Raw genomic sequence first — 25,941 nt, forward strand, 5'->3', positions numbered from 1 at the left:
ACTTTCGGAGGCCAAGGTGGGCGGATTACCTGAGCTCAGGAGTTCAAGACCAGCCTGACCAATATAGTGAAACTCTGTCTCTACTAAAAATATAAAAATTGGCCGGGCTTGATGGCGGGCACCTGTAGTCTCAGCTACTTGGGAGGCTGAGACAGGAAAATTGCTTGAACGCTTGAACCCCGTAGGCGGAGGTTGCAGTGAGCCAAGATCGCGCCACTGCACTCCAGCCTGAGCCACAGAAGTGAGGCTCTGTCTCAAAAAAAAAAAAAAAAAAAAAAAAAAAAAAAAAAGGCATCATAGATGTCAACAGCTTTTAAGTTGTAAAGCTTTTGACGTTTTAAAGTTTTCAGCATTCCACCGAGCAGCAGGTCTCACTATCTCTTACCTCCCATGCATGTATACTTGGATGCATTCCTAACAACGTACAATAGGTGGTGACAGTTACATCTGCTTTAAAACTGTCCTATTTCTTCAAAAAATGAGTTTGAAGATGTTTTTGTTTTGGACACTCACTAATATAAATATGCAAAAATAATTCTTAAGGGCAAGCGATACAGACAGAAGGCTCCTGGAACACGCTCTCATGGCTATGGAATTTCCAGCGTGGCCAGAAAGGACAGCAAGGAGCTGTGTGCAGTGGCGGCTGGCACTAGATGACGATGACAACATCACGGCTACTCACCAGTTTGGTGATACCCCCGTGCTGCCTCACCACCCGCCGTGCTCTTTTAAACTTGGCAACATTCGCGATAGTCTCGGCTGCCAAACATTTTAGACTCTTGTGTGGAGAATCAAGTATATTCACCATAATTGGTAAGCCCCCAAGGTCAACAATATTCTGTCTGATTTGAGGATTATGACTGATTTCCTTCAGTATTTTTAATGAACCAATCTGTGTGAGAAAAAAAAAGATGAGTGGCGAATATGTAACCCGTGCTATGTTTTTAAAAATTCCGAGTATACCTAAAATCCTTCCCCAGTTAAGTTTTTTAAGAAATCATTTCCATTCCCAGAGGTTACACACATCTGGCATATTCTCTTTCATTTAAGTAAACAATCCTCATTCAGGAAGCATGAGAGATGAATGGAGAAGAGCAAAAAAAGAAGAAAAGTAGAAAAAAGAGAAAGCTCAGTGAACAGAATCAGCAGGTCATCAGCAATAATAGCAGATAAAGACAAGAACCAGGCAACGAGGCATGGCAGAAACCTAGAGCTAAGAAGAGAGCCCAGGAAGGTGGGAACAAGACTCCGCATCCAAGGTGACAGAGCCACTCACCTTACATTTGACTTCATCGGTTTCAAGCAAATTTATCAGCACTTCCAGGCCTCCAACATCTCTGATGGCCAACTGGCAGGTTTCTTGAGCTAAGCTGAAATCCCTCATTGAACACAACGCAATCACTGTAGCTGTTTGATTTCCTCCCTACAAAGATGCAATGCCAGAGAAAGGTTAAGGAACACCGCATTCCCATAGAAATGCACTAAGTAGTTACGAATCCATGAACTGGAAAACATGTCTCTGAGTGGGCTAGAATTTGTTAAATGAATCAGGTAGAGCCGAAGCATGGAAAAGCTGTACAGAGCATCATAAAACATTGTTCCAATTAAGATTCAACATTTAAAGGCAGGCTGTCTCCTTTAAACAGCTTTAACATCAGGTGGTATTCATCTATTAAAGAGTCATGGGGACAGCCTTGAGAGGCTGACTGAGGAATGCAAGATGTACACAGAGCTAAGAGATGGTTCCCCCAGTTCTTGAACAGGGTATTGCATAATGCAAAGCACGTCTGAAAATTATTCCTACAGATGTGCATAGAACAGTCCGGAATAGGGAGAACTCAGAGAAAAGGAAAACGTGCAGGAAGCAGCACCGCAATCCATACTGGAACCTAGAGTAGGTGGTTTGAGGGCCGTGGGATTGGGAAAAGAGAGGCAATTCCAGCAGGACCTGCAAATGAATGGGATGGGCAGGACGAAGAAGAAAGCAAGCTTCACTGTGGTGAGCAAAATCCTGGCTGAACGCAGAGTCTTGCAAACCAATGTCTTCTTGGTGAATCGCTACATGTAAAGAGTAGTAGTGAGATGCTCCTTCAGGATTAAAAAACAAAACCCAAAAGATTAAAAATAAAAAAGAATGATCAGTAAACCAGACCTGCCAGGAGATTAAAATCAGAATTCACTGCAGGAACTCTTAGACAATGTCCACTGGTCATTTCTGCTTTGAAAATCTTCTAAGGAGTAGTGCATATTACCACTACTGCTATTCAGCTGGCTGATAAGAGTTCTGGCATCAGCACTAAAGTAGCGCATCACACACAAAAGCAAGAAGGCTGTTCATTTTTGTAAAAGGTGCTGGTAATAGACAAGCCTTTGATCCCTGCTTCAAACATAGTACCAATGTTTTAAGGGAAGACACCTTAAATTATGTTTATTTCCATTTATTAAGCATTATATTTCCATTATCTATTGTGTATATATATATAATTATGTATACAAATAGATTATATATATAATAGATAAGGTAAACATTGTCTATTTTATAAATTTATTCATTATCTACTGCCCATTATCTATTGTATAATTTTAAAATGTATTTTTAAATATATAAAATATTCTACATTATGTTTATATATAAATTTAAAAGTTTAAATATATTACATATAATATATAAATATAAAAAATACCAATATAAAAATGTATATTTCTATATATAAATAGATAACATATAATAGGCTTAGCACAGCTCGTGGAAATTCCATACCAGCTGCCAAACTCCCTCCTCCATAGCACGAGCTTGTGCATTTGCAAATCTTCTTGTGAATTCAACACAATAGGTCAAGTTTTTAATTTTTAAAAATTTATATATAATAGTTGTACATATTTTGGGGGTACATGTGATATTCTGATGCATGTATAAAATGTGTAGTGATCAAATCAGGATAATTGAGATATTTATCACCTTAAACACATCTTTTTTTGTGGTGGGAACTTTACAATTCCTCCCTTCTAGCTGTTTTGAAATACATAATAAATTATTCTTAACTATAATTTCTTGACTGTACTACAATAGGGAACTTGAACTTAGTTGTACTATCTCACTGTATTTTGTACCTCTTAACCAATTTATCTTCATCCCTTCATACCATGTCTTATATATAATAGGGTTAGCACAGAAAATGGAAATTACATACAAGCTTCCCACACACCTCCTCCTTCTTATGACACATGTACACATATGCAAACCCTCTTGTGAATTCAACACAAGGCTTTTAAAATAAGAAACCGAAATAGGATTGATTACTAGACGATCCCAAGTGAAGACAGAAAGATTTAGATGTCAGCCTTTCTTCTTACTCCATTTAAGAAAATTTCTTCCATGCCTCTAGAAATGTCCTCAACAACTGTCCCGTGAAGATGTCACTGACAATTTCCATTTCCCACATGAATGCTCCCAATGGATGCAGCAGGCTGTCCTCCACATTCATGATTAAGTTCAGAATGACAAGAGCCTTAATTTTACTATTTACTAATAAGTCATGTTCTTACAGCTTTTAGTATCTTTTCTGCTTCCTATCAAGGAGAAAAGTTACCGCCACCAATACCACCAATTTTCGTACAGTTGGTTTTAAAATATGAATTTTAAAAATCCTCTCTTTATAACTGTCAGGTTCATAAACCCCCATATTTGGGTGCAGGAGGCTCCCATAAGCCAGTACTTCCATTTCCTCTTTTAAAAAAACAAAAGTCAGATATTTTATAAGCCATAAAGAAGAATCTAGTCTGAGTGTGGAGGCATGCACCTGTAATCTCAGCTACTCAGAAGGCTGAGGTAGAAGGATCGCTTGAGCCTGGGAGTTGGAGGCTGCAGTGAGCTATGATCACACTACCACTCTCCAGCATGGGCAACAGAGTGAGACCCTGTCTCTAAAATAATAATAATAAAGGAGAATCTACATGCTAACCATACTTAATTAAAGGAAATTAAATCATGCACAAAAAGAAAGAACAAAGAAAATAAGAAAAACAATTCATTTGAATAAAGCTCTTTTTTTCTCTGAATTTAAATGGTTAAAAGGAGCCAGAAACCTCCCCAGGAGTGTCTGAAGTAGCAGAGCAGGTTCCTATATTAAGGGTTTGGAAATCCAAACCAAGTACTTCAGCAAGAGAGAGTTATTTAGGCGGAGGCTTCAGACTTCAGTATGACTAGAAAGTGCAAGAAGACATGGAACAGTGTGTCATACCTTGTTTAAGCCAAGAGCCTCCTCCTGCCCCAGGTCTACGCAGTGAAGAAGACTGTCCCATCCTAACATTCTTAATCGCTCGTGCTGAGGACTTGCTTGACTGCTATTCTTGCATTATAATGTTTTCTTTGGTAGCAATTTTCGAGCTTATACACTCAGCACAATCTTTGTTTCCTATTTCAAGTTTTCTTAATTTTTCTCTTCTAGACAACTTCCACATCTTTTGAGCTTTATTTCATTAATTTTACTATAACCAATGACATAAATTCATAACGGCCATTTAATTGCAGCAGATGTCCCAAAGGTAAGAGTTTATAGCTTTTTGAAGTATCTCTAGGTTAATTTGGAATGCAAAAGACTGACAATTTACAGTTATCATCAAGAAGTTAGATCCTTATAGAAAAAAATTCTGTAAATCATCAGCTTTTTTTCTGAAAATCTGGAAACATATTCATAGGCTTGAGGGATTTTTTTTTAGAACAGTTTTATATTAGGGAAAGTTAGTTTTTCCACATTTCAGGATTTAGTTCTACTCTTGTCACTGACCACACTCCCAAAGGGATTATAAATCTTTCAGAATGAATACCAGAGGACAGGAGCCAAAATATTCAACATACAGAGCCACAAATGTTAGCCAATTGCTATTCTTTAAATACCAGCTATGTCAAAGGATTTTTGAATGTTTGTTCCACTTTGTCCAGATGCCATAAATATCGAACTGAGAAGAAACCATGCAAATACACTCCTTTTTCAATTAAATCTCCCCTAAGAACATAATTATTTACCAATACTTATTTTCACATTTTATCACGCATTTGCATTTCTGAGGTTTTAGGAGCTGGAGAAAATAGAGTAAAATATGATTTTACTAGCTTCTGAAGGGCTTTGAAAAATGCTTCCAATAAGTGTTTCCACTTCTAAAATTAATGCAATTCTTTTGCTAGTTGTCTCCCTGCCCCTTTTCTTTTCAAACATCTCCAGGCTCTGTTGGCCTTTGGATTTTTTTTTTTTTTTTTTTTTTTTGCAATTGACATTTGGCCATTGGATTTTTTTTTTTTCAATTGACATTCCTTCTGATGACCAGGAGGCATTTCTTCATTGTCACCATTAGGTTTTAAACGTGCAGAGATTGAATGAAAGTCGCTCTCTTTCACTTTTCTTAAAACTTCTTTTTGAAAGACAAGACGAATTAAAGATAATTTCCTCAACTACGTTTTTTTAATTACTTCAAATAAAATATTTGAAATAAGCAAGTATTACCCTGTTTGGTATACAGAACAATGCCCCTCCCTTACCATTGATAAGGAAGAAATAAACATTTGCTAAGTTGAAATGAGCAATGTATTCAAGAGTAAAACAGGAAGTGAGCTGCCTCAAATCACTTTTGTGTTATTTCATTCAACAAATGTGTTGCATGCTTCCTATTTGCCATGCTGGATGGTTAGCATTAGAGACACACCGGTTTACCAAAACAGACACTGCCCTTGCCTTCATGAAGCTTATAATGTAGTGGAGGAAAAAGGTTTTTAACTTTTTTAAGCTCACCCAAATAAACAGAAACTATAAATCTGAGAAGTGCTACATGGGGCAGGGGCATGGAGCTGTGGAAGCACATCACAGGGAACTTTGACCTAACTTGGAGCATCACTCACAGGGAAAGAACATCTGAACTGAGATCTGGACAGAAAATAGGCGATTTCCCAGGCAGAGAAGGAGGGGATGTGATGAAATGTCCACCAGTCGGAGCAAACAGTATATGCAAAAACGCAGGGGAGTAGAGCATGGCATGCTTAGCACCTAAATAAGGCCAGAGCCCAGGGTGGGAGCGTGGTGCAAGATGAGCTGAAAACCAGCTGGGCTGCTGGGCCCAGAGTCTGGGCTGAGAATTTTCATCTTTATTTCAAGATTGGCCAATGTAATTTACAATGATGTCATTTATAAAAGATCACTCTGGCTGCAGAGGCCGCTGGCTGGAGGGGGCAAGCGTGGATGGATGCAGTCAGGTTACTGCAGGGATCCAGAGAATAGAAGTAACTTGGAGTAGGAGGGGAGGGTGACTCATCACGAACCATAAAGAAACGTTTGAAAGGTTTTTATCAACTTGGTTCAGGAAAGGATGCTACAAGTGTAGATGAAACTCCAACTCTGTTGGGCAACACGCTTGCAGGGTCATCATTTGAAGTTATTATCAGAGCCCCACATGACCACAGTGAGACAGGAAGGAAGGCAGAGATTGATCAGGACCAGAGGCCTCTTGTTCTGTCCCTACCCCACACAGCTTCTCCATCTGCAATCAAGAAGCAGCCGGTGAGACTTGGAGAATCGGCACCACTATCACATGGCCATCCAGCTGGCTTTGAACATTCTCAGCATTTTTTCCTTCAAACATGCCACTCAGAGAGCAAGAAAAGCAAACCCCTGCCAGTAACTGTTCATTAATGATCACAGAGGACCTGGTGCCCAGCATAAAGATTGGCTTAGAGATATTCTTCTTCTCCCAGGATCAGAAATGGTACAAAGTGAGTGCTCACAGTGAGTGGTGTATAACCACGTGAGTCAAAGCAGAAAAATACATTGCTTTCCTTCTGTTTATTTGCAAATCTATTTTACACTGATGACTTAGCACTCAAAAACCTAAGACTCAACAGAACCCTGAGGAGAAAGAGAGAATACTGTTTCCCGAAGAAAAATATACATATATCCTTAAATAAATCAGACTCAGGTTGTTGTATTACAAGCTGCTAAGAATGTTTTATCAGGAATGGGTAAGGACAATACAAGGATGCTACATACATTCTTCTAATTGTATTTATTTATTTATTTTGAGACGGAGTCTTGCTCTGTCGTGCGGGCTGGAGTGCAACGGTGTGATCTCGGCTCACTGCAACCTCCATCTCCTAGGCTCAAGAGGTCCTCCTGCCTCAGCCTCCCAAGTAGCTAGTACTACAGGCATGCACCACCATGCCTGACCCATATGCATTCTTTTTAATTTGCCATGGAACATTTACAGGAATTGACAGTTATTGGAATGTTCTAGTCATTGCAATGCAGAAAAATTTATAGCAAATATAATTATCTTACTAAAAAGATTCAGAAGAATGAGCTGAATAATTATGATAATTAATTAAAAAATAGTTCAATAAAGTGGACACAAGAGCAGCATTTTAAAGTGAGTATTTATACACTAACAATAACAAATCAAAATGTTTAACTTGAAAAAAGTTCCCATGTCGGGATTAGCAAAATAATAATAAAAATATCTATGACTAAATCTCATAGGAAATGTTTTAGATACACATGGAAAAAAGCTATTAAATATTACTAAATTATGTAAAAGATTAAATGGATGAATGGTCATACCATGTGCCTGAACTATTGGAATTCAACATTATTAAAATTGCAGTTTATCCAAAAATAATTTATAGATTCATGTAAACCAACCAAAATGCCCACAGAATTTTGGGGTTTTGTTAACATGATTTTCAACTCATTCTAAAGATGATCTAGAATGAAAAATCCAAAAAATAAGTTTTAAAAATGTTAAGGTACCTATCTGGTCTACCAAATATCAAAATATACCAATGCTGTAGTAATTAAAACAGCATGTAACTAGCATGGGAACATCCAAATAAGTTAATGCAAAGAGAAAATCCAGAAACAAACTCTCACGTGTGAGACTGCAGAATTTGATGAAGGTGGTATCCCAGATTATTGGAGGGAAAAGCAGATAGGCCAATAATCTGTGTTGATACAATTGACTGTTCCTCTAGAGAAAAAGAAGTGAAGTTAGATGCATACCTTCTATTATACATAAAGTGAATTCCAGAAGGATTAAGAATTTGAACTTAAAAAAAAAAAGCTATAAAACTAACAGAGGGAACTAGAAATTATTTTTGTCCATTTAGAATGGCTTCAGAAAAAACCTTCCTAGTTCTTAAGAAACAAAACCTATAAGCCATGAAGAAATAGAAGATATTTATTAATGTACAAAAGAGTAGACAAAAAGACATCCAGCTGGACACAGTGGCTCACATCTGTAATTCCAGCACTTTGGGAGGCCAAGGCAGGTGGATCATCTGAGGTCAAGAGTTCGAGACCAGCCTGACCAATATGGTGAAACCCCATCTCTACTAAAAATACAAAAATTAGCCAGGTATAGTGGCACGCTCCTGTAGTCCCAGCTGCTTGGGAGGCTGAGACAGGAGAATTGCTTGAACTGGGGAGGCAGAGGTTGCAGTGAGCCAAGATCGTGAAACTGTACTCCAGCCTGGGCAACAGACTGAGATGCCAACTCAAAAAAAAAAAAAAAAAAGACACACTAACAGAAAATAAATACCTGCAATTAGTATAACAGCTAAAGGATTAATTTGCATCATCAAGAATTAAAAAGATGAACAACCACACAGAAAAATAGGCAAAGGACATAATACAATGGCTATTTGACATATAAAAAAATTGTCAACCTCACTAGTAACTAGAAATATGAAAATTCAAACAAGGTACATTTTGCCCCTGTGAGAATTGGCCAAAATAAAAAATAACAAAAAGACTACACATCGATGAGAATTTACAACAATGGATTCCAATCCTATATTGACAACTTTTTTTATTTTATTTTTTTTTTTTACCTTAAGTTCTAGGATACATGTGCAGAACGTGCAGGTTTGTTACATAGGTAAACGTGTGCCATGTGGTTTGCTGCACCTATCAACCCATCACCTAGATTTTCAGCCCCACATGCACTGGCTATTTGTCCTAATGCTTGCCCATCCCCTTTCCCTGACAGGCCCTGGTGTGTGTTGTTACCCTCCCTGTGTCCATGTGTTCTCATTGTAGATGAACAGTTTTATTACCACAGGGAGATTTAAAAGTCTATCAATGCCTAGACTCCGGCCTGAACCAATTCAATCAAAACTTCCAAAAATGGTACCTGGGCATAAGGGTCTTCTGTTTATTTGCTCCATCGTTTAACAGCTCTGGCTAATTTCACTCTGAGGTTGAAGGTCCAGGGTTGAAAACTATTGGTATGTTACTGGTAGAGTGTAAATTGATATTTGCTTTCTGTAAGGAGCTATGAAACTTTTTTTTACATAAACCAAGTTTGTTTTGTTTATTACTCTTCATTATTTTTTGTTTAAATTGAAAATTTTTTAATGCAAGTCTTCTCAAACTGTAGTGTGCATATATTGTTTTTCTCTTTGTTTTAGACAGCTTTATTGACATATAATTGATATAAAAAAATGCACATCTTTAATGTATACAATTTGATGAGTTTGGGTATATGCATATAAATCCAACACCTGTGCAATCATTACTACGATGAAAGTAATAAATATATCCATCACCTGAAAACATGTCCTTTGTCTCTGCCTTTCTTGTGGTAAGAACACTTAATCTGAGATTTACTTCTTAAATGTTTTAAGTGCACAATATATATTGTTAACTATAGGTATTATGTTGTACAGCAGATATCTGGAACTTATTCATCTTTCATAAATGAAATTTTATACCCATTGAACAATTACATAAAACTGCCTTAGCTATCACAGTTCATTCCAATAAAAAATCTTATAAATATCTTGGCACTTGTATAGAACTCCCTATTACTGCTATCAAAAATGTAAATGTGCATTCTCTTTGACTCAAGCAATTCCATTTCAAAGAATCCATCCTATAGAAATAATGTATATATCCAAACAATGTGTAAAAATATTAGCTGCAGTATTGTTTGCAGTAACAAAAACTGATTTCAGGGACAACTTAAATGTTATCAATAAGGCAATTGTTCAATAACTTAATGATATATACATTTAATGAAATACTATGTAGTCATTAAAAGGAGTGAGGCAGATATGAAAGATCACCAAGACAGAATATTAAATATAAAAAGCAAAATGTAGAATAAGAAATAGTAGGATTTCATTTATGTATATAAATTATATATGTATATAAACAGAGAAACATCTGGAAGGGACTTTCACTTTGCATGGCTTGAAGTTTCACATTGAGCATATATGAGTGTGCTATTTGTATAATATTTAAAGATTTTAAACACAGAAGGGAGTAAGGGAAACGGGAAGAATACCACGTGCTTCTGCTATGTCCTGTGTCACAGAAACATCAGCAGCCACAACCAGACAGCCACACCCACTCAGGGAGCAAGAGCTGGGAAGAACCACAGCCCTGCGAGAAAAATCTCAAAGGCCAATGGACCAAAAAGGGACATGGAGTTTAATATTTTTCCTGCAAATATGCAATTTTAAATAATGATGACAATAGATCCATATAAAGATGTAAAGTGAAAAATCATTTATACCAAATCTGATGCCTCTTATTCACTCCTCAACTCATATATTTAAAAATTCTTCAGCATGCAGCCTCTGTAACAGGCCATGAGTGTGTGTTTTTAAAACAGAAAGCAAAGCAGCCTAGCACATTATCGAAACTGGGAACCAGCCAGTACCACTACTCTTCTCCAATCTACTTAGCTTTCTCAAATGAATTTTAGGGGAAAAGCATATTTTAAGGAACAAAAATAAGTGTTGTTGCAAATACATGGGGCAAGAAATTCCCCGAAAAGATCTACTACATAAAGCTGCCTTAGATATCACAGTTCATTCCAATCAAAAATCTGATAAATAACTAGATGGGTATGTGTATCATATCATGCTCTAGCTGTGCTGGCTTATAGCACACGTTCATGAATAAACACGAGTGAATGAATGAATGAATGAATGAATGAATGAATGAGTTGAAGCTTAAGGGAACTCCCCTGAGATTTTTAACATTGTCATGTTTCAGTCGTTAAGTTGATGTGGTAGCATAGTGCTAGCTAGTGGTCGCATAAACTGTTATGAGTCAGTAGCACTGTATTATCATTGTCTTTACGCTGCTTTTTCTCCACACATATTTATTTTTGACTGCCAAGAGGCAAGGAAAGTTTAAAGCTCAAAAATTTAAATACAGATTCCCCTTTGGGAAAGACGGAGAGGAGCCTCTCCATTTCTTCCACAATCTCCTTTATAACAAAAATAAAACACGACAAATTCTTTTGTGGGCAATATAAGCATACAAGTAACACACATTACCAGTAATCCAAATACTTAAAGTGGATTCACTTCTTATACTACAATATCTATGAAAGCATAAATGCAGATTCTGAGTAGGCTGTTTTTAGCTGATGGAATTTAAATATGTTATGATTTCAAACAAGCAATTAAAAAAAAGTCACAAAAGTTGTCCTATTCGTTTGTCACTGACTTTTTAAAGAAAGCTCAACCCACATCAATGTAGCAACACATCTACTAACTTAAAGAATGTTTCTCAGGAACATGGTACTCATTTGCCTTTCTAACTACTGGAGTTGATTCGAGTGGACGAACAGTGAGCATTGTTTTCCGTTTTCGAAATACTCTTTTTAACAAGAATAACTCTGTGCCATCACATTCTTTTCCATTTTTTTTTTAAGTAAAGACAGCAGAAGAGCACAGTCTAATATGGCCTTCCAAACATGAATACTGAGTTCCTTTATGGCAAGGGTTCCCTGTTGACTCTCACTCGAATGAAGAAATCCAAACAAGAGAAAGACAGGAAGATACAACAGCAAGTTCTGCAGGCCTCCTGGGTCCTGAATTTCTTGACAGTGGAACCAAACAACCAGGCAATGTGCAATAAAGATAGAAGCCTGGACTCAGTCCTGGCCTGCAGCTCCCTTCTGTGTGGCCTGGAGCAAAGAATTTCTCAGCTTTTCCACCAATGAAACAAGGATCAAACTACCTGCCACTCCATACCCAAAACTCAAGTAATGGGAAAGGAATTTAATTAACTGTAATTGACTGCAAAGTACATCAAATTCCTACAACAAAAACTCATACAACTTCCAATTACCACTCGAAAGAACTCTTTAACCAATTAAGGTGTGTGTGTGTGTGTGTGTGTGTGTGTGTGTGTGTGTGTGTGTGTTTAATCAGTTTACATAAGATCATTAAGGAACTGAGCCCCACAAATGCAGTCTTTAACAAAGGTTTTCAAGTCTGAAAAATGTCCTTGCCAAGAATCCACCTCCAGAGAAGAAACCCAAAACCTGCCAGGGAGGAGCTCTGGGAGTCCCTTCTGAAGCTGGCAGCCCGGTGGCATTTCTGATGTGAATGTCTTTTAGATGTCACTCTGGATTAGAGTATTGACCACTACTAAGCTGGGATCCACCAGGCATCTGGTGGCCTGAGAATACGCAATTTGTGGTTACAGAGCACAAGCATGGCAAGCAGTCTGGCTCATGTGAAAGGTGAAATCCACGCCAGTGTTTGATGAATTTGATGATACAGAACAAACAAATTAGGCTACCCCTCACCAACCCATCATGGGTCAGGGGCAAGGATGAATGTGTAGGAATGGCCATCCTTTCTACCAATGTAACCCCATTGTCACTGTTTTCTCATCCCTTCCTATTAGATTCACTTGGCACACCACCTGCTGCTGGATTCATCTTTCCAAATCAATGCTTTCATCATCCCTTTCCCCACTCTCCCACCTGGACTCTGATCAAAATCCCAGGTACAGAAGCTGGCATCCCACAGGGAGGAGGTACATGTGGAGAAATGGCCCTGGGAATGAGCCCTAGAGGCCTCCATCATTGCAGCAAGTACTCAGGAATAAGACCGCCTGGATGAAGCATTTCAGAGTATGGGCAGATATCCAACTGTGCTTGCCAATATAACCCTTGTTGAACCTAGAGCTGGTGCCTGGACAATACGGGCATCTTATCCTGTAGTGACAGCTCTAGGAAATATCTTCAAGGGAAAGAAAGCATAATTCTAGGCCCAGCCTCTGACATGCCTCTGAACTACCAAAAAGCTGACCAACCAACCATGTTCTCGGCATTATTCTAGTCTTCTCAATGTTTTACTGGATTTACTGCCTATAGGGTTAAAACCATACCCACTCCACCTTCAATCCACATTGAAATGGATTTCAACGTGTTTTTGACCTTGGATCCACAAATTCTTTTTCATTATAATGTGTATAAAATGCAAATCTACTTATAATTATGACCTTTCAACATTTTACCCCACTCTACTGAAGAATACCCATTTGCATGAATTTATAACATATAGTACTTGTAACTAATATTTATTTCCACATTTCCAAACAAAATATCCTACATCCCTTCTCCTGTTTCACAAAAGGGCTCTCCACCTACCTTATTTAGAAATGAGCATGATTTCACTGAAGTTTTAGAGAGACTCATAGATTTAGTATGGAGCCTAGAGACATTAACAAACCATCTCCTTTAATCTCTGGAAGTGATCAAAAGCAAGACATTTTCCTTGCAAGATTTTAAAACAATTTTGGCCAGAGGAAAAAATAATATCCATATAAAGTCAGCAAATACAGCAATCAACTAGTATGTCTACAAGAAAGACGGCAGGAAAAGGAAGAGAGAGGGATGCAAGAAAAGTAGGAAAGAAGTTAACAGCAGAAGGAAAGACAGGCTCAGAGGCAGGAAGAACTGCTTTCAGGGGGCTGAGAGTGAAGAACAGCAAAGCCCTGCCACTAAGGAACCTCGCCCTCTCCCCTTCACACCATCGGGGCAGAGGTAGGGAGGCGAGCCTGTGCACACTAGCAAGATGCCCTGCGAGATACAGCAATAAATTTAATGTGGTCTCTCTACTCAAGAAGTAGATAGTAAGACAGACAACCTGAACCATCAGGATAGCAGAAGGCAGAACATAAGTGCTTATCAGTAAGGTAGCTGAAAAGGGGGTTCATTGCTTCCTTTAGAATTAGGGTACAGCATCATCACCTATGGGGGAGAAAAGAAGCTGGAAGGTTGGTGAGTAAAAATGTGATACATTCATTAATTTAAAAATTAAATTGTGTTCAAAAAATCCAGATGAAAAGAATTTATACATATATAAAACTTGCAGGTTGAAATTAACATATGTCAAACCAAATAATTAAATACAAACTCTATTTATGTGCCAAGATATGAGCTCATAGCTCTGGACGAATAATAAGCTATAGTTCATTGACCTGTTTGGGTATTAATGAGCTCGTTAAATCTTTTTTTTTCCAACAATCAGAGACATCACTCTACTTGGAAAATGGTAAATAGAAAGTCAGGTCAACATGAATATTTCTCTGCTAGCTTAAATCTACATTTAAGCCATAATTTCATAAATTAAAATGTCAGGTGTATTTATTTTGAGATTACCTAGAGACATTCAATTTTGCATTTCACAGACTTTTAATATCGTTTTGTGTCTCCATATAAAATATTTATCTGTGTCAAAAACCTTGAAATCATTTATAGATATACTTTTCCTTTTATTGGCTATGTGAAGAATATTTACCTGTGGGAACTATAAGAATTCCAAGCAATTTACTGTCTGGCCAAGAGTATCACATTTGCACATGATTTATTGATGAATAACTTGTGCAAATTTAAGTAGCACTTCATCAATATATGTTTTCTTTAGCTGTACTGGGACAGAAATAGTGCATCTCTTTTTGGCCTAAAGCTACAAGGACTTATCCTAAATAGTTGAAAAAACTCAAGACAGTTATCCAGTAATTAGGCTATTATGAGAAACTCTCTTTGCCATGTTCACTGGGAGGATATTATTGAGGCTGTTCACTCTCTCACTCCGTGCCTGCCCCATTAAATCCTAAGGGAGAAAATTCTTTCTGCTCTTAGCACCAGGATCAGTTATACTCACTGGCAACTGGTTTGTTTTTATTTTAAGACGTTGAGAGACTTTCCCTCCCTGTATTAACTCACTCTACTTCCCCCCTTTTATTGGTTGCTAGAGAACTGAAAGTAAAAGTTGAAGGCCACCTGCACGAGTCAGTTAAGTCTCCATGCCACACATTTGCTACAATAATAATAAGCAATAGAAATGATTATTATTGCCAACAGTTACTAACTACTTTGTGCTAAGCACTTTACATGTGTTGTATTTCATTTAATATTCTTAATAATTCTAATATAAGAGAACTTTTATTTTTCCATCTTCACCAATGAGGAAACTGAAGCTTAGAGGGGTTAGTCAACTCACCCAAGGCCATTGAGTAAGCGGCAGAATTTCAACTCAACTGGTCTTTCCAACGTCAAAGATCATGCTTCTAATTACTCTGGTATTCTGCTTCCTGATCCATCTTTTGTTTCTGCCATTTTGACTTGTTTCCTTTTGCTAATGAAATAAAGATAATGGACCGGGACTCTTGGGAAAAACTCAGGACTCTCTTAATTCATCTTCTGAAAGACTATGTCTTGGACGGGCTTAGAGGCTCATGCCTGTAATCCCAGCACTTTGGGAGGCCAATGTAGGAAGACTGCTTGAGGCCAGGAGTTCAAGATCAGCCTGGGAAAGAGAAAAGGAAAGAGGAGAGGAGAGGGGAGGGGAGTGGAGAGGAGGGGAGGGGAGGGGAGGGGAGGGGAGGGGAGGGGAGGCGAGGAGGGGAGGAAGAAAGAAGGAAAGAAAGAAAGGAAAGGAAAGGGAAGGAAGAAAGGAAGGCAGGCTAAGCCCCAATGGCCCTGTCTAGAGCTGCCCACCTCAGAGAGAGTGGTGTTGGCAAAGTTCTCCACTGCCAGTTCTTTTTTTCTTTCCCCCAGATGACATGCTTTCTAGGAGTCCAGGAGAGGTAATCACAGGAGGCCCTGTGGTTCAGTAAAGATGCAGAGGCACTGTTGCAAGCGTGGCCTAAATGTCCCAAAGCTGGGCATGGTCACCGTGCGTGCCAGTCTGGACCACTGTGTTGAACTATGTGGTTTGTGCACAAATACTCCTGCCAAAGGGAAGTGCAGGAGCATGTGGCCTGAATCTAGCCCGTGCTCCATGCTAGTGTTTCCAAATTCCCGACAGGTTAATCTTCAAGATTCAGGAATATGCAATCAAAATTCCTAGGAATTTTCATGAGTTCCCAAAATTATATTATTCTGTATTTTTCCTAACATTTCATTTACATGTCTTTAAATAATAATGAATGCCTATAATAGTAGTGAATCATTGCTATCATAATAAACAGTGAATCATTTTTTGTGGTAGAGTTATGCTAAAAATTTCAGAGGTTTTCTGTAAAAAAACTTATGTAATAAATGCATGATTTATTATTATTATGAGCCAGAATATGTGACATAATTATATTGCAACAACATGTAAAAACAATGTGCACCTGATATAGAAATTTCATAATACAAAACACTAAATGAGGGAAACATTAACACAAAATAAATGCCAAATAAAAACCATTTTAAAAATTGACAGATGCCACAAAAATATTTAATATTTATAAAGTATCACGCTTAAAATGAAATTTTAAAACTCACAAAATATTAACTGTTCTCTCCAATAGTCTAGAGGTTTGTTTCATGACAAACAGTCCAGACTAAAAACATATTTTTCATTTTGCATTGATGTTGGTAAAATCATTAGGAGCCTGCCAAAGAGATCTCCAAGTTGAGCATTAGGGCTTGTTTCGTATAAGCTCATGTCCTTTTTGAAACATGAAAATATTATTTATTTATTTATTTCATTATTATTATTATTATTATTATTATTATTATTATTATTATTATTATTTTGAGATGGAGTTTTGCTCTTACCTCCCAGGCTGGAGTGCAATGGCATGATCTCGGCTCACTGCAACCTCCGCCTCCTGGGTTCAAGCAATTCTCCTGCCTCAGCATCCCGAGTAGCTGGGATTACAGGCGTGTGCCACCACGCCCAGCTAATTTTTTTTGTATTTTTAGTAGAGACAGGGTTTCACCATGTTGGCCAGGCTGGTCTTGAACTCCTGACCTCAGACGATCCACCCTCCTCGGCCTCCCAAAGTGCTGGGATTATAGGTGTGAGCCACTGCACCCTGCCAAAATATTATTTATTTTTAATTGACAAAGAATAATTGTATATTTTTATGGGGTACAATGTGATATTTTGATAAATGTTTACATTGTGCAATGATTAAATCAAGCAAAGCCACTGGCAAATGCCCTTGGTTGATTTAACCAAACACATGAAAAAGCAGAAAGAAACCATGAGTTAAGTCAAATACTTTTTCACAAATACTTCTGGACGTCGGCTTTACACAAGGCCTAGATATCATCAATACTTAATATCTGACGTCAGAAATGAATATTAAGCTGGGTTTTGGTGAGCCATTCCCCTTGCCCTCCTGCAAATTCAAATACTTAAATACGTTACATGGGCCAATTATTATGTAAAATATTCTCATATATGCTATCTGACGTGAGAGAAATGAAAATGAACCAATCCACACTATAAGCACCCACAATGTCTCAGAAACCATGCTATGGTTCAAGTGTGTTTTATTAAACTTTATAATAGTCCTGTAGTACAGGTATATTAATTTTATTCTATGGGTTGAGAAAATTAGGGCTCAAAACTGTAACGTTTCAACAGCTACGTTGCTAGTAAGGGAAACAGCCTGGAGTTTAACCGAAGTCCAGCTTTAAAAATCCATGTTATTTCTTCCATACCATACTACAAATCATAAAATGGCAGCAAGTCACAGTGTCAGCTGTTTACCATGCCCACTTCCCAGCCGGGAGAGAGGGTTGGTACCAGGCAGCCTGGTTGCTCCATGAGGATGAATCTTGCATCCTCAGGGTAATAAGACCTTGCCCTGCACAAACTTAGATAAAACAACAGGAATGCTTACTACTCTTATTTGAAAGAAACGTAAAGTAAACTTGGAAGCAGCATATACATCTTTGGGAAAGTATTTTAAATGAACATTGCAAACATACTACCATAGACCTTTCTTACCTTTAAATATTTCACCAGCTTCTGAATTTGCCAATATTCTGATGGCAAATCTGCACTTGCTTCCTGACGATGGTCAGGTGGTTCTTCATCTTCCTCACTTTCTGAGGAGCTATCGCTAACAGTTTCCTCAATCTTTTCAGCACTCTTCCTAAGAACAATAACAACACACATACACATGTAAGCTATAGTGTGGAGATCTATTAAGACCTACATGGGGCCAGGTGCAGTGGCTCATGCCTATAATCTCAGTGCTTTGGGAGGCTGAGGTGGGAGGATTACTTAAGGCCAAGAGTTCAACACCAGCCTGGACAACATAGCAAGACTCTGTCTCTACAAAAAAAATACTTAATTAGCCAGACATGGTGGTGCATGCCTGTAATTTCAGCTACTCAGGAGGCTTGATGCAGGAGGATCACTTCAGCCCAGGAGTCTGAGCTGCAGTAAACCTTTATTACCTCATCACACCACTGCACTCCAGCCTGGGAGACAGAACAAGACCTTGTCTCAAAACATAAAAATAAAAAGGAACTGCATGAGGTGAATAAACCTGTCTCTATTGCAGGTGCAATTGCTCTGGGTGCAATAATCATAATAAACAAAACAGTGAGAAATAAACAAGGGTATTCAGTGAATGTCCTAAGCCTGCGCTTTTCAATAAGACTGCCACTCATTGCATGTGGTCATCCATATTTACAGGTATTTGAACTTATTTATTTAACTAAAATTAAAGAAAATTAAAAATCCAGTTCTCCAATCACACTAGCCACATTTCAAGTGCTCAATGGCCCACGTGCCTCGTGGTTACCACACTGGACAGCTCAGATATTGACTATTTCTATTATTCCAGTAAGTTCAACTGGGCAGTGCCACAAGGCCCTAAAGTGAAAGAGTCTCTTTTACCAAAGAGAGTCAATATTCAGCACATCCCTCCATAATGCCTACACTGAAGTACTTGCAAGGGCACAAGGTGCCAAAGAACAGCAATAACATGAACATAATCAGGTTCAGGACCAAAGAGTTAACCACCAACTCTGAGAGACATTACCATGCAAAGTGTTGAGTTCCACAGAAGTACACCACATTCTATGGTTTGATGCATGGACAACAGTATTACAAGAGACTTCTGGAATCCAATATATGCCCTACGTCCCTGCAGAGGTCCCTCATGCACACGCACACTCATCACACCAGCTTGTCTCCGCCTCCCACCGCCGGATGCCAGGTTACTGCCATTGGGTCACCAAATCCACAGTGATGTCTCAGGAACTACTCATCCATCACTCACATGTGGAGAGGTGCTGAACCCAGGATATTTATCCTGATATTGTTTCCCACATATTCCTCATCTCACAGGACAGAAGCAAACTTTTAAATCTTCTAGCTAATTTTAATATTAAATAATACCAACAGCAGCCACCAGTTTTGTCTATTTTGCCCTGTGTACTTTTTTTTTTTTTTTAGACGAGATCTCGCTCTGTCACCCAGGCTGTAGTGCAGTGGTGCAATCTTGGCTCACTGCAACCTCCGCCTGCCGGGTTCATGTGATTCTCCTGCCTCAGCCTCCTGAGTAGCTGGACTTACAGGCATGCGCCACCACATCTGGCTAATTTTTGTATTTTTAGTAGTGACGGGATTTTCACCATGTTGGCCAGGCTGGTCTCGAACTCTTGACCTCGTGATCCTCCCGTCTCGGCCTCCCAAAGTGCTGGTATTACAAGCATGAGCCACTGCACCCGGCCTGTCCCAGGCACTTTATATTCATTATTTCTAAACCTCACAACCACTTTGCAAAGCAGGCTCTATTATCCCCATTCTACAAGCAAGGAAATGTCAGAGAAATTAAGAGGAGAAAAAAAATCATTCACTTTGAAGGATCCAAAATTACTTAAAATATGACTTTTGCCAATCACATATTAAGGTGTCCTTAAATATCAAAGTCACAAAGTCAATGACCATAATAGAACACACAAGTCCACAATACTTTTCCTCTAACTCTGAAATCCAAAAAGCTCTGAAAACTATTTTTCCCCCCACTGGACTTAACTTGTTGCTAAGGCCTTATATGAACCAATAATAGACTATTTATGGTCTTAATTCCTCTCATTCAGTGTGAATATTCATGTTTCACTACAGAAATGCTCATGTTTTTGATTACAGGGTATTGGCTCACACTCCAATAGAGGTTATCATATAATATATATTGTATGAATTTCATTACCCTTTTTTGAAGTGAGTTTTTTAGACCCCCATGCATTTGGCCACAAGAGTTCCGGACAACAGACTGTGGGTTAAATGTCTCATTTTAATTCTCTCAACAATCTATGAGGTTGTCATTACTCTCATTATAGAGATAATGAGTTAAAAATAATTTGGGCCGGGCATGGTGGCTCACGCCTGTAATCCCAGCACTTTGGGAAGCCGAGGTGAGTGGATTGCTTGAAGTTGGGAGTTTGAGACCAGCCTAGCCAATATGGTGAAACCCTGTCTCTACTAAAAATACAAAAATTAGCTGGGTATGGTGGCGTGTGCCTCTTGTCCCAGTTACTTGGGAGGCTGAGGTAGGAGAAGCACTTGAACCTGGAAGGCAGAGGTTGCAATGAGGCAAGATCGTGCTACTGCACTCCAGCCTGGATGACACAGCAACACTCTGTAATATTAATAATAATAACAATTTGAACAAAACTCCATGGTTAGTGAAGTGGCTGTGCTAAAACACATAGTTGTAATGGGAGCTGTTCATCTTGGCTCCTAGATGAGCTGGGGTAGTCTTTTAACTTACGTGTGCCTCGGTTTCCTCACCTGCAAATTGGGGATGATAATAGCAATTAGTATGTAAAAAGCTTATAACAATGCCTGGCATAGAGAGAGTGTGAAATATGTGTTTTAGTTCTGTATTATCAGGCATATTCATTCACCAAACGTGCATGGAGGGCCTGCTGGCTGCCAGGTATCAAGTGAATGCTATTGAAGAATGCTGTCTTTCGGTATCTTTGTTAAACTCCAAGGAAAAGCTGTGGTTTTGTTTTTGAAGATTTGATCTGTTTTCATTTTAGGGACCACATAAATTAAGTAACTGGTTAGGTTTTTGTCTTTACCTCGATGTTCAGCAAGAACAGAATCAAATCTGTGGTCTATGAGTAATTACCTAAGTTCCCATTATTTTGTAGCTCAGTACCTTGTCCACTTTGGTCACCATCAGAAAATTTTTATTTCTGCGTTTTCTTGTAGTGTCTTAGTAAGTTCCATAAAGGTAAGGACCATTTCTGTCTTTTATACTGTCTCCCCTAGCACAAGGAAGGCACTCAATAAATATTTGCTAGAAGAATTAATAAATTAAAGCAAGTATGAATAAGTGAATGAACAAATGACTTCAGTCTAGGTTAAGATTTTGGAAGAAGGGTACTTCTGGTGATAATTCCAGGAAGTGGCAGTAGCAGCAGCTTGATGGACAGGAGGCAACAGTCAGTAAGACTGAAACCAGGGAGTGTGTAGGCCAAGATTTGGTACTGGTTTTCCTCTTGGGGTTTCAGGTTTTTCAAGATGATGATGGGACATAGGATGAAAGTGATAGTCAGTCAATGTCAAAATTGTCAGTGATAATGGATCCATAGAAAACAGCAACCAGGAAAGACAGAGGGTTACACTAGCCTCATAGGAAAGGAGGTCTAATCTGAAGAGTAAGGTAGTTTGAAGCAATAAAGAGGAGATTTCTGCCTACGGTCCCCATGCCCTGTGGTTACACAGAGCCTAGGGAAAAGAAGATCTGAAGGAGAACAGCTGCTGTCACTGAAAAGTTTCAATAACTGCAAGAAAGGAGAGAATGGAAGCTTTGGTGCATAGGGTGAGGATATAAGAAAATTCATTTCCTTGTAGTATGAGGTGGGGGCAAGGAAAAAAATGTAGAAGAGAGAGCAAAGTGGAAGAATGATTCATTTGGGCTATTGCAGAGCAAGATACGGAGGAGAGTCCAGGAGGAGACAGGACTCATTCAAGTTTGCATTTAGAGTAGTGTCCATGGGTAAGAGGAACCCAGGAATCCAGCCTGCCACCCCCTGGAGTAGTGTATTCATTCTGGCTTCCCATTAATCTTTACAAAATGTATCTGGGTCCCCAGTAATCCATAAAAGGGTTATTGACACCCTACACAGTGCAAACCTGGAGTGAAATCAACCAGGGCTGAAAACGGGCCATCTGCAGATGTTTAACTTGGATTTACAAAAATTGAATTAGTGGAATCATGATCATTGTGCTGCAATTATAAAAAGACTTACGAGAAAGTACACTTTATTCCTCATCGCTCTAGAAGTTTCTAACTCAACATTAAACTCACGGGCAAGGACTAGTCCATTTAAGCCTTCATGCTTATATCAATTCATTCTCATTTTCTTTGTTTCTCTCCCTCCTCTGCTCTCTTCAACTCCCAGTGGGTTCTCGTCCATAAAAGTCTTTTCTGTTCTATTCCATTTTGGAGCATAGGAAGAGGATAGGCAATTTTTAAATTTTATTAATTTGTAAGATTCCATGATTCTCTTAATTTCTTACAGGTTTTTTGGCACAGAGAGCCCCAATTTTTGCACTTCCAAAAGCCAATTTGTGTGTAAAACACTATGATTATGCTCTCTGGACCCTGGAAGAGGGAAAGCCTGAATTCAAGCATCTGTTCCCATTTAATGAGCCACCTGAGTGAAGTTTCCAGTAGATCAGGTCTATTCAAGAAGTGACTTAAACTTAACTCAAAGATTCCAGATTGAAGCATATAGTAGAATAAGCCTAAGTTCTTTGAGGAAAGCCTAAATTCACCTTCCTTAGTCTAACAAGCTCCTGGAGTTCAGGGCAGAGTGAATTACGTCTACCCAATCACTCCACAATCCCATTTTAAAAAGCAGCGCCCCAAAGAAAAGCTGTCTTTTTTTTTCCAATTGATGAATCCTTTGATAGCTAACTTTAAAATGCTTTTCCTATTTGATATGATTTCTTCCAATCCTGTCCCATCGCAACTGCATATTCAGGAGGTAAAAAGAAGCAAATGTCAATGCTGAATTGATCTACAAACTCCACCTTAAGAAATACTTCTCTACCACAGAATTCTATCCACTTAGGCAAGATGTGACACAGAGAACCTTTCATTTTTATCACTGAGTAATAGCTGTTGCTTGGATACATTAAAACTTTACCTTATCTATTACCCTAAGCTAATTCACTAAAAATTGAAATACTTTCGGCCCAATATCTGTTTCAGGAAAGATGAAGTAGATATACTTTTCCCTATTTCTCCCACCAAGCACAACTAAAAATCTGGATATTGTATATAAAACAAACATAAGGTGACTCTGAAAGGCAGAGAAAAAGAAGAGCACTACCTAGGGATCTGAAGACCTGTGGCTCAACACAGCGGTGCATTCCCTGGGTTTTCTTTTTGTCTCATTCTTCCTAGACTGGGTACTGGAAAAGCCGGCAAAGCAGAAACTCCAGGAGGTGCAGGCAAAAAAAGGACCTAAGAAAGTCCTGCTCTGTCTAATTCAAAGGGCCAGAAAAGGAAAGCCTAATAAGACAGAAAATGTTTAGACAACAAATGATCTATCTCAATCAAGACCACACATAACAGCGTGGCCCAAGTCTACCTCTTATAGCAAAGGCCAAGTGAAGAGCCTAGGGCTCTACCTTTATCAGACTGTAAGAAAGCGCTGCAACCCACCTGCTGGGGTGGCCTCAGAGAAGGCCTGACAGGGAGTCAGATGCTCACTACATCGTGGCAAAAATGAAGTCACTTATCCGAACTGTGATATCAGTAGAGCCCACTGACAAAGTAACGAAGGACTCCCCCGTCACACTGTCCGGCTGGTATCAGCAGAGGCATAGGTGGAGCATGAACTCCCACTACCCTCCAGAAATAATGAGGACTCCCTTGCCTGACCCCCCAGGCATCAGTGAAGGCCTATGGGAAAACCTGCTATTTCAATTCCTCACCAGCCTGGAGAAGCAACACATACCTCATCCTGCCAATATGGTGGCAGAGAAGGCCTTCTAAAATAAAAGATTTAGGCCAGGTGCAGTGGCTCACATCTGTAATCCCAGCACTTTGGGAGGCCGAGGCAGGCAGATCACTTGAGGTCAGGAGTTCAAGACCAGCCTGGCCAACATGGCAAAACCCCGTATCTACTAAAAATAAAAAAATTAGCTGAGTGTGGTAGCGCACGCCTGTAATTGCATCTACTCAGGAGGCTGAGGCAGAAGAACTGCCTGAACTCGGGAGGCGGAGGTTGCACTGAGCCAAGATTGTACCACTGCACTCCAGCCTGGGTGACAGACAAGACTCTGTCTCAAATAAATAAATAAATAATTTAAATAAGATCCAGTGTCTCATAATAACCAAAATGTCTACATTTCAACTGAAAATTATTTGTCATACCAAGAATGGGGAAGATCTCATCTTAAATGAGAAAAGACAATTTTAAAATGCCAATATCAAGGTGATGAAGAAGTATGAATTATCTGACAAAGATATGAAAGGCACCATCATAACAATATTTCAACAAGCTATATGAACATGCTTGAAACAAATGAAAAAAATAGAAAGTCTCAGCAAAGAAAGAGAAGATAGAAAAGAAAAACCAAATGGAAATTTTGGAACTAAAAATTATAAGTGAAATTAAAAACTCACTGAATGAAATTAGCAGAAGAATAGGACAGAAGAAAAAATAAATGAACTTGAAGATAGAACAACAGAATTGGCTCAATCTGAACAACGTAGAGAAAAAAATAACTGAAAAAATCAGTGAACGCAGCCTCAAGGAACTGTGAGATTGTAACAAAAGCGCTAATATCCACCACTCTGAAGCTAATAAAAGTGGCTGACCCTTATCTTCCAGACATGTCACTTTTTTTGTCAAACTGAAAATCAAGTAAAAATTTACTAGTTGGCCTCATATTCAATTTTTAATTGTTTTCGTTAGCAATAACATAGACCACTTCAAAATCGGCAGTCTTTTGTGATCAGCAAAGGGAGGCTCAGACAGATACATAACTTTGCCAGGACATGATTGTTCAGAGGCAAGACATCAGTTAAGAGCCCAGTGTTCCTAAACTTAGGTCACTGCTCTTTGCATTAAATACATTTCTTTTCCCACAGTCAACTAATACTAGTAAATCACTGTATTTTGGGTAACTGCATTAGAAGAATATCTTGAAAAAGTATTTAAAGAAATCCAGTGTGACCACTTTTACTAACATTCCTAGTAACCGTCAGTGTAAACATCTGGGGACCCTAATAGGAAGGATGCCATTAATTTGCATGCTCAGTAGCCCACTGCGTGAGGGTGGCTTTAGGGAACTCGTCTTGCTGACCAGAAACATACCGAAGTAATTGTGCTCTTCCGTGTGAAACAGATGGTCTTGGTTTTTCAAGTTTTCCTGTGTGTTTGTCCTCTTGGATTTCTTTTGCTGAGCCTTTGCTTTAAAAAAATATACAAATATATTAGCTTTATTGCTTTATGCTAATTAATAAAAAATAAAAGATGGCAATGTAGATATATACTCCGTTATTTCCATGTGCTCAAATGATGCGTGTTCCTGACAAGAGTTCCAGCCTCATTCTGACACTCGGAGCTGTCTCTTTCACTCTTTCAGCACAGCCCTATGTTTTACATATTGAAGAAACTTTCTGTCCAGCACCTAGGAACAGGTCTTCACAGGCTGCCACTGTTGGTGTGAATCCTGCACCCGATGCCTTCTACTCTAGGTATGTATCGCCGCCAATTATAGTTTTCTATTTTCTTATCTTCCCCACCCAACGTTGCAACAGGGCCTGCACCTGGTTTTCCAGGTATTCGCAGGCTTTGCATAGTCCTTGGCATTCTGTGTTCTCCCTTGAATACCTGCTAAGGAATCTCATGCTTGAAAGAGTAAGAATATGG

At 38.8% G+C, this 25,941-nt stretch overlaps 1 protein-coding gene across 28 annotated transcripts in view; it reads right to left on the bottom strand.

The window, feature by feature from the left end:
• ODAD2 (outer dynein arm docking complex subunit 2) overlaps window positions 1–25,941 on the bottom strand; it is a 187,508-nt gene that overhangs the window by 131,372 nt on the left and 30,195 nt on the right. For 20 of the 28 annotated variants that reach the window (XM_047425404.1, XM_024448052.2, XM_047425413.1 and 17 more), the window contains 4 exons: window positions 25,384–25,479; window positions 18,029–18,176; window positions 1,277–1,423; window positions 683–892 (listed from right to left, as the gene is read on the bottom strand). In XM_047425404.1, coding sequence (XP_047281360.1) covers window positions 683–892; window positions 1,277–1,423; window positions 18,029–18,176; window positions 25,384–25,479 — 601 coding nt within the window. Of the gene's footprint in view, window positions 1–682; window positions 893–1,276; window positions 1,424–15,298; window positions 15,568–18,028; window positions 18,177–25,383; window positions 25,480–25,941 lie in introns of those variants that run through there. The other 8 variants (XM_047425414.1, XM_047425410.1, XM_047425408.1 and 5 more) reach the window with 3 other exon arrangements.

This window comes from Homo sapiens, chromosome 10 (assembly GCF_000001405.40).
Source record: "Homo sapiens chromosome 10, GRCh38.p14 Primary Assembly".
NCBI lineage: Eukaryota > Metazoa > Chordata > Mammalia > Primates > Hominidae > Homo > Homo sapiens.